This window comes from Homo sapiens, chromosome 4 (genome assembly GCF_000001405.40).
Source record: "Homo sapiens chromosome 4, GRCh38.p14 Primary Assembly".
NCBI classification, from domain to species: domain Eukaryota; kingdom Metazoa; phylum Chordata; class Mammalia; order Primates; family Hominidae; genus Homo; species Homo sapiens.
In genome coordinates this window covers 128,559,495-128,577,374 of record NC_000004.12, presented here as the reverse complement: position 1 = coordinate 128,577,374, position 17,880 = coordinate 128,559,495, and the positions used below count along the sequence as shown (strand labels likewise).

At 41.7% G+C, this 17,880-nt stretch overlaps 1 long non-coding RNA gene across 1 annotated transcript, besides 2 other annotated features; it reads left to right on the top strand.

Moving 5' to 3' along the window:
* The first annotated feature begins 6,831 nt into the window (after positions 1-6,831).
* Positions 6,832-9,442, top strand: LINC03140 (long intergenic non-protein coding RNA 3140). Its single transcript, XR_007058268.1, has 2 exons — positions 6,832-7,150; positions 8,088-9,442. It is a non-coding gene; the product is annotated as a long intergenic non-protein coding RNA 3140 (long non-coding RNA).
* Positions 10,411-10,911: an enhancer, noted in NCBI's record as "H3K27ac hESC enhancer chr4:129487619-129488119 (GRCh37/hg19 assembly coordinates)". NCBI's record gives its function as "activates a minimal SCP1, AML or CMV promoter by ChIP-STARR-seq in primed H9 embryonic stem cells {active_cell/tissue: H9 hESC(primed)}" and the evidence as "EXISTENCE:reporter gene assay evidence [ECO:0000049][PMID:30033119]".
* Positions 10,912-11,412: an enhancer, noted in NCBI's record as "H3K27ac hESC enhancer chr4:129487118-129487618 (GRCh37/hg19 assembly coordinates)". NCBI's record gives its function as "activates a minimal SCP1, AML or CMV promoter by ChIP-STARR-seq in primed H9 embryonic stem cells {active_cell/tissue: H9 hESC(primed)}" and the evidence as "EXISTENCE:reporter gene assay evidence [ECO:0000049][PMID:30033119]".

The following is a 17,880-nucleotide window of genomic DNA, read 5'->3' as shown; positions in this document are numbered from 1 at the left end:
TTTGAGTGGGCCAAGACAATTCTTCCAATGTGGCACAGGGAAGCCAAAAGATTGGGCACCCTTGCCTTAAGGTGATTTGAAAATAAGATCTGTAAGGAGGTAACAAAGGCTATGTGACGTGACAAGGGTGGGGCTCTGATATGACAGGATTAGCATCCTTATGAAAAGAGACGCCAGAAATCTTGCTCTCTCCTTGCACAAAAAGGACATGTGAGCACAAAGCAAGAAGGTTGCCACCTACAAGCCAAAAGAAGAGGCCTGAGAATGAAACCTATCTTTCTAGCACCTTGATGTTGAACTTCCTAGCCTCCAGCACTGTGAGAAATACATTTCTGCTGTTTAAGCCATGCAGTCTGTGGTATTTTGTTATGGCAGCCCATGCTGACTAACACAGGGACATATCTTCAGGCACGTTCACATTTCAATTTAAAATCCCACTGTGGCAGTAGCTGAGACTTCTTTTTGAATTAGGTTGAAGGAGTTCAGGACATGGCACCCCAAAATATGCCACTTTGGTATGTTGATTATTTTGAGCTTAAGGCACTTGAAAAACAGCAAATGCAAGAAGCTTTCTCTAAGCTCTTATTACCTGCCTAAAGACAGATCCTCCAAGAGGAACTCAATTGTCATAAATTCCTTCCCCAGGAGTTTCATCAACCAGGAAAGATTGATTCTTAATCACAAGAGAGGAGACCAGAGGTTGACACCACACCCAGACACACTTTGTCACAAACTGTTATATCTCTCATCTCTTCTTCTAAGGGTCCATTAATCTTTCCTAAAATTCATTGACTCTTCCCTAAGTGGTCTACAACCTCTCTCCACTTCTCCTCTTATGACAGTGTATATAAGCTCTCAAACATCCCCACTTGTGTATTCACATTTTTCCTGTGATGTCTCTGTGCATGTAATATTACAAAATACGTTAAAAATAATTTATTACTTAAAACTTTAGATCATATTTTAAAATATTAAAAATTACAGTGAAAATTTTGTTTTTTGTGTCGTTAATATCCCTGTTATCAGTTTATTTATTTATTTTTATTTTTTTTTTGAGACAGAGTCTCGCTCTGTCACCCAGGCTGGAGTGCAGTGGCGCGATCTCGGCTCACTGCAAGCTCCGCCTCCCGGGGTTCACAACATTCTCCTGCCTCAGCCTCCTGAGTAGCTGGGACTACAGGGGCCCCCCACCACGCCCGGCTGATTTTTTGTATTTTTAGTAGAGATGGGATTTCACCGTGTTAGACAGGGTGGTCTCCATCTCCTGACCTCGTGATCCGCCCGCCTCCGCCTTCCAAAGTGCTGGGATTACAGGCGTGAGCCACCGCGCCCGGCCTATCAGTTTATTTTGTAGACCCAATTACCGAACCTAGGAAGGTAACAAGGTTTGTTTTACCTAGGTGGGTTACCAGGTTCTGGCTTCAGGATCAGCTCATAGCCTGAGACCCAGGGGCCCTGAGGTATGAGTCTCTTTCTCCTTGAAATTCCTCTACAAGCTTAAAATACATCAGTGCTTTCTGACAGATTTCGTTTTACAGCCTGATTGTGTCTAGGGAGAGAGAAAATGGAAAGGGTTGGGCACTGGAGATGAAGAGGAAAGGTCAAGATTCCCTAGAGGTCATTCTCACAGGTTCTATGGGGACTTTGTGTGCACCTTGCTTCTCTTTTAGGGGTATCTCTGTTTCTTACATTCCTCAGGCTTTACCACTATTCATAATAATCATACTATCCAGGCATTCGGCCATTTTGCTGGCCTGGACATAACTGACTTGCAACTCAACTGCCCAGGATGATATAAATTTGTGATATTCTTTATTCAGCCCTTTTCGTAGAGTAGAGGGAAAAGGATTCTCTCTAGAAAGTGAGCAGACTAGGCCGCGTTCTGTAGCTCAAGCCTGTAATCTCAGCACTTTGGGAGGCCGAGGCGGACAGATCACCTGAGGCTGGGAGTTCGAGACCAACCTGACCAACATGGAGAAACTCTGACTCTACTAGAAATACAAAATTAGTCAGGGGTGGTGGCGCATGCCTGTAATCCCAGCTACTCAGGAGGCTGAGGCAGGAGAATCGCTTGAACCCAGGAGGCAGAGGTTGTGGTGAGCCGAGATCGCACCATTGCACTCCAGCCTGGGCAACAAGAGTGACACTCAGTCTCAAAAAAAAATGAAAGATAGAAAGTGAGCTGACTATTACCATCAATGTCCCTGGCAGGCTCTGGCATTCCTTGTCCATTAAAGATAAGTACAAATTGGACTTCCAACAATTAACAAAAATATTTTAGCAGCTTATTCTGATCTTGAATAACGAAAGTTCATTGCACACCCTTGAATTTTTTCTTCCCAATTCCTGGAATTTATATAAAATTTGTAGAGAAACCCAATACCTTGATGCATTCTACTAGAGAGTGTTAGAGCTCGAGACTTTCAGGAATTAAACCAAGTCAGCACACTCTATTCTGCTATCCTCAGACTCCTCACCCAGGGTGGTGGTGGGGAGCCAGGCATGGGGCTCTTAATACAACAGGAGGACACCGATGGGGAAATGCCTACTGCCCCCTGCTGGTGGAAAAGGGTCCATAGTTCCAACAACTTGCATAGCCCTAAAAGGCCTCATTTAAACATTGTATTGAAACCATGGTATCAGCTTCAAAATGACTTTAAATAACCTTAAATATTTAGCTTTTTAAAAATAAAACTGAGCAGTAAAAATCTACTGCTTGGTTTTTCCTTAATTATACCGCTCCTCCTCCATCTTTTCAGTTTCCTTTACAATCTGGTAGATCATACGACATTAAATTCTAGGGCGTTCAGCACCAAACAATGGTTGACCTGTCTTAGGTACCAAAGTCCCTTTAATTTGTGATGATAGATAAAACTTTTCTTAAAGTGTTCCTTTGAGAATGTATCTTGAAAGTATTAATAATTACCTGGAAGGTAACTGTGGCTGTAGCAAGTGCTGGGACTTGGAGTTGTATGTTATCGTTCCAGTATCAGTTCTGACACTTACTTAGCTGTAAGATTTAGGAAAGTCACCTAATCTCATAGACCTCATTTGTGAAATATGATAATAATACATAACACACAGGGTTGTTATGGGGATTACATGAGATTATTACAATGAAAGTGTTACTCTAAGAGCTATAAAATTGGAAGGTATTACAACTAAAGGAGCAGGTAACTGTGGGGTTGCCCACTTAACCATTATCAGACAGGTATTTGGAGTCAAACGCCCTAGAGCACAGTAAGGATTAAACATTAAACTGCAGATATTCGTCATTGAGATTAGCGTTATTACCATGGTTTAATATTTAATTCTCACTGTTCTCTAGGGGACCAGATGGACTCTGTGGAGAATGTAGACTTAGACATTCCTGACTACTTGCATCCCAAACTAAAGTCCATACAAGATAAAAACACCTCATAGACAGAAGAGTCACTCCATGAGGCATTCTAAGAATGCACTTTCTGCATGGTGACTAGTTTTTAAGTGGCCAAGTGGATAGGCTCTCAGCAATCTTGCTCCTCTGGGAAGAATAAAAACATTACACTGAAGGTCTTGTTTGTGAGTTGTGCTTTTGGACCTAAGTTTTTCTGCTATAAGGGGTATATTATTAACAAAACAAACCCAACCAAAAAGTTGGAATTCCTGGAAATTCACCAAAATTGCCTGGCTGCTGCAGCCCAACAATTCTTTAGCTCTTTTCAATCATCTTTATTTTGGATTTACTTGGAATCCTTGATCTTTAACCCAATTTTGAGCATTACACTGTCCCTATTTAACGCAAAAGGAATATTTTGGAATTTTAAAAGAGCCACAAAATATCAAACCCAAGATCCTAGTTTTGGGTCTTGTTTGTTTGTAAGGGTGGAAGGATTTCACATCTTATTTTGTACTTACTGTGTTCCCAGCAGCTTTTGTTTTGCTCACATCTCACACAGAGCATACTCAATTCAGTGAACTAATTTGGTTGTATGGTAAGCACTGCAGAGAAGCTATGAAAAAAAGTCACAATCGGGAAGGTAGAAAAGGTCTTCCAAGGATGCACTGAATCTGTTACATATACTCTGGGGCCTCCGAGTTTTCTGGGAAAAAACAAAAGCAAAACAGTGGCTGGGAAACCAGCTTAGTACATAGGTATTAAAGCATGGAACAGCTTCTTTTGACTAGTTTAAGAGGAAGCCATAAAGCACAAGTTCTTGGAATTATGCCAGCAAAAAGTGTAACCCTTTTATTTATGGGGGCATTCATCAGAACTGGGCCTTTGTGAGCCTACCCCAGACTGTGGTCACTTGGTTTAGTCAGTTGCTGACTTCTCTGAGAGAACACATCCCCTTTTAGCAGAAATAAGGAGCAAGGAGAACCACTGGGTAGTGACTATCACAGTGATTCCCATTGGAAACCAACCCACGAAAGCCCTGTAAAGAATAGCCCTCCTGTATTCCATGCCAGTGAGTGATACTTACACACAGGACGGGTGAGACAACATGGATCCACAAACACCTGGTTTACTTATATTGGCCATGATGGTGCCCTCAGGACAAACCACAGATAGAGATCTACCCAAGGAATTCCTGAGTTCATAGGCTGACCGTGTCCTTTGATCCCCAACCCAGCCATTTCTATATGACCTCTGTTGTTGTCCCAACTGAACCCCATTCTTCTCTCTTTTGTGGTTGTAAGGATGAAAAACTTGATGACTTCTTTCTCTTCATCATGGCTACTTCTCAGAATGTCTTGCTGACCACGTCATTGTTGCCTGATTCTATTGATCTAATAAAATCTATTTCTATCAACAAAATATAACTATGTGTGACCACATATTTATACCTTTTCACAAATGGAACTTCTTACAAATAGATTTCCCATCCATGTTAACTTATTAAGTAAAATTTTCCTGTTTTTTAATAAAATAAGTTTTCCTAATCTCAAATACTATCCAACAGATGTTAGTCACAAACATACATCATAAGTGGGAAAGTATTATAATAAAGCTCATTAGTGCTGTTTATTTACCTTTCAAATGCTATTGAATTTTTACATGAGTTTCTCTATAAGTTCATTAGTTGTTATTAAGAAATAAATATATGATTGAATTTTCCAAATATATTTGAATTTCATAGTTTAGCATTTCATACGAGAGAAATAATCAGCCAATGTTTTTGCCTGCTGTTTCCATGAAGATTTCATTTATCTTAGAAGTGATTAATATAGAATGACTATAAATAATATAAATTTAAATAGAATATACTTTTTTTTTTGCTATGTTGTTTGTTAGGCTTTACAATGTTGTAAAAAAACTGTAACAATCCTCTCAGACTGGAATTTTTCTTTATCAAACTTTTCCTCCATTTTCAGGAAGGAACAATGATTCAGAAGTCTTGTAGATTAGTCACTTCTTAAGAAGTTAGATCATTCAGTACTGCATCTTAGCCAACTGTCCAAGGTCAGCAAAATGCACAGCATGTTCTGTTTGATGGCCCCAGGCAGAAAGCCACAGCATTCAAACTATTAATATCTCCTGACCTTTCAACTTACAAATAGAAGCATCCTTGTGGTCATTTTTTTTTCCTGTATATCCCTGAAAAACTAAGGATCTAGGGTTTAAGATAAGAAATACTTAATTTAATTTAATTTAATTAGTTTTTAACCACAATCCTGGGCTTTTATATAAAAGCACACTGTTTATTTCTTTTTTCCTTTTGAGATAGGGTCTCACTCTGTCGCTCAGGCTGGTGTACAATGGTGCGATCTGGGCTCACTGCAACCTCTGCAGCCTGGGCTCAAATGATCCTCCTGCCTCAACTTCCCAAGCACCAGGGACTACAGGCATGCGCCACCATGCCTGGCTAATTGTTGTATTTTGTGTAAAGACAGAGTTTCTCCATGTTGCCCAGGCTGGTCTCGAACTCATGGACTCAAATGATCTGCCTGCCTTAGCCTCCCAAAGTGCTGAGATTACAGACATGAGGTACCGTGCCTGACCACTGTTTATTTGTTTCATAAAATTTTCTTAAACACCAATTATGTGCAAGTTACCATGCCAGGCCTCTGGGAAACAAAGATGAATCAGTCAGATGTACCTGCAAGGAGCTTATGGTCTAACTGGGGAGAAGAAATACAGCAAAATACTATAACATAGGGTAAAAAGTAAGAAGTACCACAAGAGAAGCACAGACAAGATGATTTGGGGGTTCCAAAAAAATAGATTATTAAATTTTGTGGGCTGGCAGCAGAGAGGAAGGAATTGGTAATTAATCTGAGAAGATGACATTTGAGCTTGCTCTTGATGGACAGAATTTAAAATGTAGAGAGGAGATGTAAGTGCAGACATTTCAGATTGAGGAAAGAGCATAATTAAGGGCATGGAGGTCAGAAAACATGGGGTAATAAAAAAAGGTTCAAGTAGTTCAGTTTAGTTAGAGAACATGGTATATGAATTTAAAAAATCACTGAACTAAAATCAGAAAATTACTTTGAGACCAAATCTAGAGGGCTATTAACACCAGATGATAGAGTATGGACTCTATTTTACAGACAGTGGGAGCCCGCTGAAGGGAAATGCCACATTCAACTTATGCTTCAGTGTCGGATTCCATTGGAAAGGGGGCGGTGACTGGAAGTGAGGACACCAACCCATCAGGCGTGCTCTCATTTAGTTTTCTAGCGGAAAAAAAAAAAAAAGCCTGAAGCAAGGATTAAAGTACTGACATTTTATTTGGGAAGCACAAGCCCAGGCCAGGGAAGCTGCAGAAAAAGGAAAAAAGGGAAGTGAGTATAGGAAACAATGCACAGTCATGCCTTGCACAACTGGCTTCTGCTTCGGGATGAGCCATTGGCTGATGAGGCATGGGAGGCTCAGCAGGTCTGTTCCCTTGGCATGTGGGACATCTTGCAGTGGATGCAGGGAGGGACCATGCCTCTAGCATTCTCTGGGAAGAATAAAGGAGAAGTTTATCTTCCCACCTACCTCCCATTGCCTGTTTTTCATTGGTCAAAACTTGTCCCACTAGGAATTAACTCCTTCACATTTCCAAGTTTATATCATATGACTGCTCCAACTACATGGGACCCCAAACCCCAAACCTGATGTATGTATAGTGTTCCTGTTTCATCCAAGCCTGGAAATGAGGGGAAGAGCCAGAACCTCTAGGTGAGTACTAGGTGGCTTGGCAGTGTGTGTGTGTGTGTGTGTGTGTGTGTGTGTGTGTGTGGTTGAGGGGTGGAGAGTTAAGGGGACTTCTAAGGTAAGTCCCTGATTAGTCCCAGCCAGTTGAACTGTGTTGGGCAGGTATGGTGGTTGAGTAGTTGAAGGTCCTAGAAGTGGACAGTGGCCACAGTGTCTAAGGAGGCACAGAAGATTTGTGTTGAGATAATGATTCAAGAGAAAAGAAGGACCCTTCATACTTCAGTCAGAGAAGAATTCTTTTGGTGGGCTATCATGCTCTTGGGTTAAATTCTTTTCTCTGTAACATTATTTAGAAAATCGCCTCCCTCTCAACAATGAAGACTGAGTACCACTGGCTTACAGATATTTCTGTATATTATCTGAGTTAGTAGAGTTTGAGTATCACATTTCTTTCCTTCCAATTCTATGATTTGTCATCATAAAGTTTTGGCATACGCAGCCCAGTCTTTGGAAGAGGGGTTGAGAATTGTGTAATATCAGGTTTAGCATTATAAAGTAACATCTATCATCTGAAGATGAGACTATAAACACCAGTCTGGACATAATAGAGCATGCTTAGCCCACTTGTTTGGAACTACAAGGAAAATAAGGTCATACAAAAGAGCCCTCTGCCCTTAAAAAAGAATTCTCAATTGCAAATCACTTCTGAGTACCAGTGGGGAAATGCAGTCATTTATTCTCAAGACTGAAAAGAGAAAGGAGACCTTTTTATCACTTTGTGTGTGTGTGTGTGTGTGTGTGTGTGTGTGTGTGTGAGAGAGAGAGAGAGAGAGACAGAAAGAAAGAGCAGGAGAGAGAGAGAGACAGAGAGAGAGAATATGTGTGTGTGTTACCTACCTAAAGCTAATGGTAGCCAATTTTTTCCTTTTTTTCTTGGAATTTTTTTCTTAATCTAAAACAGGCTTGGTGCTCTGGAAAAAGAATTAGAATTGCATTCAAATAGTCAGGCTTCAAGTTGCTTCTGCCTCTGTGTGAAGCAAATAGTAACAACTCACTTCGAAACTCAGGCTCCTGGACTGTAAATGAGGATAATGATACTCACCCTACCAACCTCAGGGACTGTTCTAAGAGCAAAATGAAATGAGACTGAGCTCTGAAAATGCTTAAATGCTTTTCAAAGTAGAGTGATCGTGCTTTCTGTAGCATCAAAACAGTCCTCTATAAATGGGCAAAGTCAAGGCATGGACTGGATCTGACAACAGAGAATGGCTTGAGGGCTGGAAAAAGAAAAAAATGCAAATGCCCCAAATCTCTGCTTCCCTTACAGTGTGGAAATCGCCCCATAACACACTGCACCAGGTAGGGTTAAATTGATCCCAAATGTTTCAGGAATTTTTAATGCCCTTCGAAGAGACATTTCCAATTCTTCATCTGCCCAAAGTAATGCTGCTAACCTACTATCTGTCAGTTTCCTCAGTGCTTTGAAGATTTTTCTAAAGTCATCTGACTTGGTTTCCCTTTGATTTCAAATTCCTGCTTATTATATGTATGACCTTGAGCCTTTTTAACTCATCTGAGCCTCTCTGTTTCCTCATCTATAAATTGTGAATAAGAAGACGTTACTGTAGGATTATTAGAAACTTTAGAAATAATACTTTTAATACCAGCATAGTGCCTGATCCATAGGCATCCAGGACATGCCAGCTAAGATCATTGATTATTGTTGTCGTTTTTAGTATCATACAGTAGAAAGAACAACATCTTTGAAACCAGACAATCCCGCATTTAAATCAGCTCTGTCACTTACGAAACGTGTAATCCTGAATAACTGAAGAAAACTTTTTGAAGTTCAATTTTGAGATAATGATGGATGATTTCAGACTTTGTGAGAATTTCAGAGGTATCGGCAGTAGGTTGAATGGTGAACCCTCCAAAAGATATATCTATGTTCCAAACTCAGAATCTGTGAATGTGACATTATTTGGGAAAAGGGGGTTTTGCAGATATAATTAAGTTAAGCATCCTGAGATGAGATCATCCTGGATTTTCTAGATAGGGCCTAAAGCCAATAATGAGTGTCTAAGACAGAAGAAGACACAAAGAAGAAGAGACGGGAATGTGGTCACAGAGGCAGAGACTGGAGCAATGCAGCCACAAGCCAAGGAACACCTGGACCCACCAGAAGCTGGAAGAGGAAAGAAGGGATTTCTTTTTCTTCTAGAGCCTTGGGAGGGAGCATGGCCCTGCTGACAACTTATTTTCAGACTTCTAGATTCTAGAACTATCAGATAATAAATTTATATTGTTTTAAGCCACTATGTTTGTGGTGATTTGTTCTAGCAGTCCTAGGAAACCAATGCAGTATTTAATACAGAGTGCCCGGTACAATGTTGGCATGTGACAAGCACTCAGCAAATGGTAGTTGCATAGTGAGTTCTCCTCCTGTCCCCACTACCTCCTCAATGAGTAAATGCCTGAACAAATCCATAGGCAGCCATCTGAGAGCCTGACTCCAGGGAGCAGGGGGTACAGTTAGCCTCAGCCCATGCTAAAATAGAAGCCTGACCTTAGTTTGGTTAATGCCACACTCTACCACAGGCAATTGACACCAGGGCTCTCCCATTTTATAATAGCGCAGATCCAGTCTCATTATGCATTAAAGAGTTTGTTCCCCTAAAACTCTTACTGCCCCCAAAGGTTTAGAATTTAAAAATAACATCGACAATCTCTGTTCAAAAAAAGTGAACAATATACTTAAACGTTCTTCTTGTAACAATAGCCTGCCTCTTCCTGAAGTGCTATAAAAATTCAGGGAGCAACTTCACCCAGTTGTGAGAGATAAAAGAATAGCAACTAAAACGGGCAGTCAGACCAAGGCAGGGGGGCAGCCTGTTGTCTCTGGGTTGAAAACCATCCTGAATGCTAAAAGAAATCACTCTAAAGAGGGGTGTGTGGGTGCATATTGACAGACTTCAGAAGCTGAGGTTTCTGAGTTTAGCCTCCTGAATGAAGCAGGACTTTTGACATACTACCCCCTGGGGCCGCTGCCTTAGGTGTGATGCTATTGGAGCCAAGGATCTGTCTATGATGGGGTCCAAAATTTACACACCACGGATGAGATGGAGCAAACATGTGGAGCTTTTTTTTTTTTTAATGTTTCTATAACAGATTCCAGCTTCCTTGTGAATCCACATCCTGTAGGGCAATTGTTATAGCGAACCTTTATACAGTGATTGCTGTGTGTCCTGGCACTCTTTTCAGTGCTTGAGATATATTAACCATTTAATCCTTACACTTCCTAGGAGGAAGTACTATCAGGATCCCCATTTAGAAGATGAGCAGCGAGTGACAGAGATTTAAGTTATTTGCCCAAGACCACATAGCTAGCAAACAGTGCCAATTCAAGAGCAGGTCATCTGACTCAAGACTTTATGCTCTTTGTCACTATACTAAACTGTGGGAAATAGAATTAAACTTGCCAATTAACATGATCTGCCCATCTCAGGTTTACACTTTCAAATGAAATCAATTTCTTTTGAGTAAATGCTCAGTCAGGTCCTCACACTTATGGGAGAGGGGCTTCTGGTGGCTGTACTGGTCCCTGAGCAGTGGGTGGACATCTACTGCTGGGAAGCTCTGTAGTCTGTTCTCAGTTGGTCTCTTTCCCTGGCTGGTCTCTGGCCTTGGCAGCATCCTGCCTCTGGCTGCCTCATGCCACGAGACGGTGGTCACGAGTGTCCATCGGGGCCCCTCTTCCACAGGTATTGGACATACCCCCACAGGTCCCCTTCTGCTGGCATTGAGCGTCCTGTGGACCCTCACCCCAGCCATCCACTGCCCCAGCTTTGGCACTCAGTACCTTTAGCTGGCCGAGCAGGCTTTTGGTCTTCTCTCTAGGCCCACCAGAAACCCAGGAGTCCTTGCAAAGCCAACCTCGGCTCCCAGGAAAAGAAAAGGACTACCTTTATCCTTTCCAACTCATATCATCCTCTCTGGACTCTCATTAGGCTACCAAGCCTTTTCCAAACCACCATCAGACGTGCTCCAAAGGGTTGTACAGTTTTCTCAGTCTACACTCAGGGAGGTTGAAATGTAAACATTACAACTCAGATGTGCAAAAAAAAGAAAAAATATGTAGCTCTTTCTTATTTTCCATTATCTATCCCAACTTGCTATGGGGCCCCATTCCCAGTCAGTAGCAGAGACAATTAAAAAAAAAAACTTAAACCTCAGTCTCTTCTGCTTTTAGGAAAGTCTCTTTCAGTTTAACTCATTCTTTTGGGGGTAAATATTCAATCAATTCAAAGTTAAATTCCTTCTCAGTGCTGATTTTTTCAAATTTCTCAAGGGGGCCCTTTTTTCCCTCTTCCTTTCCAAGACGGCCTCTCAGGAGTGAGGGAGGTTGAGAGTGGGCACATTAGTTCTCCAGAGAGCAGGTCTTCTTCAGGCTGGTCTGGTCTCTGATGCCCTCTGCTGGTATCCGCCAAGGTGTGGCTAGTCGTGCCTGGCCCACTGCTGGACTCTGGGGTCCCTGCCATTGCCTCAAGATGTGAAGCCTCTACCCTTTGTGATTACCTTGTCTTGTCCCTAGGCCTCTGCACAGTCACTGTTTTATCAAAACTTCTGTGAACCCCTTCCAGGTTCATGTGGAACCCTGGGTTCTCCTACATACCATTTGGAGACGCTGGGGACCAGTATTAAAGAAAAATTATCCAGACACTTGTAAAAATGGTAAGGAAGACTTTATTCAAGACTGCTGTAGTAGAGATGATATCTGTTGCAATAGGAGAAAGACATTGGGTTCAACTCTGAATACAGTAGAGATAGCTTAGGATTTATAGTCAATGAGCAGAGTGAAGGAGTCGGTGGATGAAAAATTACTAAGAAGAGATATTAAGAGTAGGGGGGACTCTTGCTAAACTGGCCTTACAGAATTCTTGCTAAAGGCAGGCTAAGGACTTACACATCAAAGTGAGGGATGAGGAACTTGATCAGATATCTAGGGTGGGGAATGATTCAGCAAGATCCTTCGTTAAGACTGGGCTATGCAGCCCAAAGTCAGGATGAGACCAAGGTCAAGGTCTAGTCAAGAAAAGGACTCAGAAGAGCCTGACCAAAGTTTGGTCAAACAGAAAATCTTTATTACCAGACAGCATCTCAGGCCAATCTATCTGAACATCCATCAGACTGGACATTCTCAGACTCTCTCGCACCCGCAGTATCTGTGGTTTCTATCACCCTCCTCTTCTTCGCCCTTTGATTTAAGTCTGGAGAGTTGGAGGTGCCTTTCCAGGGACCTAACAGCATCCCCACCCTGAGCGAATTCCCTCCAATCTCTCTGCTTTCTCTCACAGAGGAAGCCTTTCTACTGATTCTTCCTTTCTTGTATCTTCTGTCCTCTCTATGCTGTGCTCATAGTAAAACTCTAATCCAAGTTGGGTTTTGTATGTGAAAGAGAGGTCTGAGAATAAAAAAGAACTCCTTTTCTCTCTCAGCAAAGGCTAGCTGAGACAATATTATTATCTTTCTTTGGATTAAATGCTACTTGGGAAGACAAAAACTAAAGCTGACACTTTGTTTTCCTTTATATTTCAACAATATTGATCATTCCTGACACAATAAACACCTCTAACTGGATGAGGACGGTCACACAAAAGGAAGTTCAAAAAAGAAACATATATTAATATATTTCAAAACTACTTCATTCCCATGGCAAATCTATAAGTGCTTCCTAAGCCCACACTCTGTGCCTTCCCTCCCCATTCTCCCTGCAAAGCTATGATGATGCATATTTTTCTGATAGTTTGAAAGACATTTGAAGAATTCACATTTCTTTCTCCACAGCACAGTGATGGACATTGAGGAAGATATTGTATATTTGTTCACTCAACACTCATTCCAACGCTCTCCTAGTTTGCCTTTCTATCTACTACAGGCTGGAAGGTAAAAGAATTGTATTTTCCATACTTTCTTGTGGTTAGGAATCTGCATGTGACCTAAGCTCTACACCCACTCCCAGCCCACCCCAATGAGACCCTTGGAGGTGGAAGTGAGTAATTTGAGGAAATGGCTGAATTCTCAGTGAGACAGGCTTTTCCAATAACAGTAGTGAAAGAAGCATTTGGGTTTCCCTGGGGTAGCTGTGGAAATATGTCTGCCATCCAGTCCCTATCACACGGGCCGCTAAGAACAATCCCATGGTTTAGTCGGGCAGTCTTCTGGGTGTGTTGTACTTGGCTGCTCTGTTCTTGGTCATGGAGCTTCTAAGAATGTTTCTGTTCAGAGATTCTGTGAACTATCTAATACTCTTTAACATACGCTTTTCTGTTTAGACTGACTCTAGTGGAGCCTGCTGTCTGAAACTCCGAAGTCTGACCAAAGCAGCAACCCCCTCTCCATTATCCCTGTTCCCCCTCCTCTCACGACATAAACAAAAGTGTAAGCATGGAAATCATAATTAAAAAAAAAAAAACAAAAAAACTGAGCCGGGCGTGGTGGCTTACGCCTATAATCCTAGCACTTTCGGAGGCTAAGGTGGGCGGATCACAAGGTTAAGAGATCAAGATTATCCTGGCCAAAATGGTGAAACCCCGTCTCTACTAAAAATACAAAAATTAGCTGGGTGTGTTGGCACGCGCCTGTAGTCCCAGCTACTCGGGAGGCTGAGGCAGGAGTATCACTTGAACCCAGGAAGCAGAGGTTGCAGTGAGCCAAGATCGTGTCACTGCACTCCAGCCTGGCGAGAGTGAGACTCTGTCTCAAAAAAAAAAAAAAAAAAAACTGGAGGGTTCTTTGTCTTAGTCAAAGCTATCTTGGTTTTAAATAAGAGACATCAACTCGAGCTATATTTACCTAAAAGAGAAATTCATTAGAAGGATGCCAAGAGCTATGTAGTGCTCTGGAGACTGGAAAACCCTCAGGGGACAAGAAACCATCTGTCTTTTCTTCTCTCTCTTTTTTTTTTCCTCCATGCAAAGTTCCGAGTTTGTATCAAGTTTCAACCACAAGGGCAAATTATTCTCAGTGCCAATTCCAAATTCTTGAAATAAAGATCGAGCCTAGAAGTCAAGTTGTCCACTCCAAGCTAATCAATTATGGCTAGAGAACTGCATCGCACAGCCAGGCATGGTGGCTCACGCCTGTAATCCCAGTACTTTGGGAGGCCGAGGCAGGCGGATCATGAGGTCAGGAGTTTGAGACCATCCTGGCTAACATGGTGAAACCCCATCGCTACTAAAAATACAAAAATTAGCTGGGCACAGTGGCAGGCGATTGTAATCCCAGCTACTTGGGAGGCTGAGGCAGGACAATCGCTTGAACCCTGGAGGTGGAGGTTGCAGTGAGCTGAGATCATGCCACTACACTCTAGCCTGGGCAACAGAGCAAGACTCTGTCACAAAAAACAAACAAACAAACAAACAAACAAACACAGAGAACTGCATCGCACAAAAATATGGCTGTGGAGTAGTGGTGAGCACTCAGAAAATTAGAATAAGATGACAGACACTCCAAACTGTTACCCCTTAGATATCTGTGTTTAGAAATCTTACCAGAACTCAAACATTTCTAGAGTTTAATAATGCTTGAGTGGTAATCAGGTAGTTACAATACAGCTCAATGTACTTTGAGCTGCTGAAGCCTCCCCAAGACTTCCCTAACACTTTTGGGAAACCTCTGGATGGGGAATTTTGTGAAACCACTAGACATCAGCGGCTTTGCCCTTAATGGCTATGGTGGCCATTATCCTGACTTTCCGGGAGCTTGTCTCATTCACGCCACCTTCTTTAATAGTTTACTACTAAGTCCATGTGACACACAGCTTGCCTGGGAGGAAGTCCAAGCCCAAGGTGAAGACACTGTAAGATGTATTGCTCTGATTTTCCTTTTCCAAAATTTTAATGAAGATCCCAAACATGCCACAGTGGTATATTCTAAATCCTTAGATCCTGTAAAGAGGGCACCAGAAATCTCAAGTCAAACATATAACCAGTTTTACCCAACTACAGTTCTCACCAGACAACTCTATAATGGTAGAATTCAGGTCCTCAGTAGGGCTGGGATTGACTGGCTTAAGGGATGTTTAGATTCCTCAGTGAGGCTAAGAACTATGATCTAAAAACACAAGGTCTCAAACATGCACAGAACAAGATGGGATGTTCCCTACTGTCTTAGAATTTTGACTTAGAGCCCCAAAGCTGGGGACAATAAGTACTAAGTACTCACACAAAATCTAAAAGACTTAAAAACACATGGCAATAGCAGTCCAACCGTTATCATTCTGTCTAGACTATATAAGATTAGAAATTTAAAAATAAGATTATTTGAAGAAACTATGTAGGTATAGAGAAGTCTGATACTTTATCTCAAGAGACACATTCATAGGGACAGGCAAGCATGCAATAAAGAGTTGGTCATCTTACTCCTTACCTGGGTTTTTGCAAAGCTTCCCAAACTCATAGGTCTAACCTCTACTTTCCAGTAGAACAGACCTGGTACTCCAGGGGACCCTACTACTATAAAACATTTAGATCCTGAATAAAATAAAATTTAAATTACATGGCTAGACTCAAATGAAATAGGAGAAAGCACCCAGGGTGAAAAACAATGCCTAACTAAAATAAATCTCTTGATTTGAAACCACAGCAAGTGAATGTGCACCGGTAAAAGATAGAAGCTAAAGATGGTCCAGGCATTGATTTGGGGCTAGAGAGTAGATTAGATTCCAAGATAGAGCAGGGTAAAAGGAGCCCAGGCTGTAGGTATACTACCAAAGGTCACAGTAAATAGCCACAGCCTAGGGCCCTGGGAGAACTCCAAGGATACAGAGATGGAGATTAGAACAACACTGACAGATAAGAGGCATTTCCTAATCCCTCCTCCCTGGTGCCACATAGAGAAGGAAGAGAGAACCAGGGGCGACAAATGAGGAACAAGGAAAGAAAAAACAAAAACAAGAAAGGAAAGACTACGCTGCCCTTCCCTACCGAGATTACTGAAGCTCCCATATCAGGGTGAGGCCTGATATGGGAGCAGGGAGATTTAACTCCAGCAGACCTTAATACTACACTTAAAAGCAACTGCAAAGCCATGAATGAGGAAGAGAGATCCAAGAGCATGATTGCAGGCAATGACAGGAGAATAAATTCCATTGAGTTCTGGCCAATCAGTAAATAAGTTACTTCAGATATAATTGTTTCACATGATTGTGTGTAAACTTTGATGAGATTCCATGAAGATGCCCTAAAAATTAGCCTGGGACAAGGAACTCAGGAAATCTTTTCTCCAAACAAAGAAAGCAAATCTCACGGTCTGTGTTTACACGGTCTGTGTTTACACGGTCTGTGTAGATATCACAACCCAAATCAGACCCACAGGAAATATGCTTTAAAAGTTGTCTGATGTAACCCATTTAAAGCAAAAGATGATTCCTTTTTTTTTTTTTTTTTTTTGTCATAAAGAAAATGGCTCTGCTATATTTCCTCCATTTCTGGTAGATTTTTGTCTTTATTGATAAGATAATGCATATTTGAACCTCAAAAATTTGGAAGCACTGAAAGAAGGGGTGAAGGGCAAGTGATGGGTTTAATGGAACAATGCAATTGTGTGAGAGTTCGTTATAGAATTAGGGGAGCGAATCATGTATGTTGTTACTTCTGTGTGATCACAATGTCAAACAATCCAGCCCACATTTGAAGGAAGGATAAAAACTAAGATTAATGTGAATGAAATGAATAAAACCAATCACAAGTCAGTGGGCCTCAGGATGTTACATAGTAATATGTCATAAGTATAATATTTTCTTTTCTTTGTAGAATTAGATGCTAAACCTAGAAGATGAAGTTATTTTCATGAAATCATTTCTGAACTACTGATTTTAGACACAACTCCTCTTATAAGTACTCACCATTCTGAAAATAAATGCTTAGTTTGAAGTTATTCTGTAAGAATATGTCCTCATATCTAAATTACCCCAAACTTTACATTTTTTTTAAAAGAGATGGGGTCTCACTCTGTTGCCCAGGCTGGAGTGCAGTGGCATGATCATGGCTCACTGCAGCCTAGACCTCCTGGGCTCAAGCAATCCTCCTACCTCAGCCTCCCGAGTGGCTGGAACTACAGGCATGTGCTGCCAGATCTGGCTAATTTATTTTTTAACTTTTTAGAGATAGGGTCTTGCTATGTTGCTCAGGCTGGTCTTGAACGGGGGCTCAAGCGATCCTCCTTCCTCGGCCTCCAGAGTAGCTCCGATTGGATTACAGTCATGAGCCACTGTGTCCAGCTCACAAACTTTATATTCTCAAGGCTTCACATAATGAGGCTAAAAGGTTCTTGTATATTCTCAGTCATTTTAGAAGAGACAGAGGGAGTTGGCTGAAGGAAAGAGTTCCTCTTACCCTGAAACCTTCGTTACGACAGACAAACGTCTGGCAGCTTCAGCCTTCCACAGATACCTTACATTTACATAGTATCTGGCAGTGTTCAAAGGGCTTCAGTAATGGTGCAGGAGTTACAGCCTTGAATCAACTGAGGAGGCAGAATCAACCAGCTCCAAGACTATTACAGACAAGCTTGTGGCCTCCAGCAAGCCATGCAGTCTCTCTGAGCTTTAAGCTCCTCATTTATAAAACAAGGACATTACATATACCATCTCGACATCTTTTCTAGGCCTAGGATTCAGCTGTCTTGCCCTCCTAGCAACGGAGTAATACAATGCCGCCACTCTGGCAACTGAGCAGAGGTTGGGGAGTTTGGCA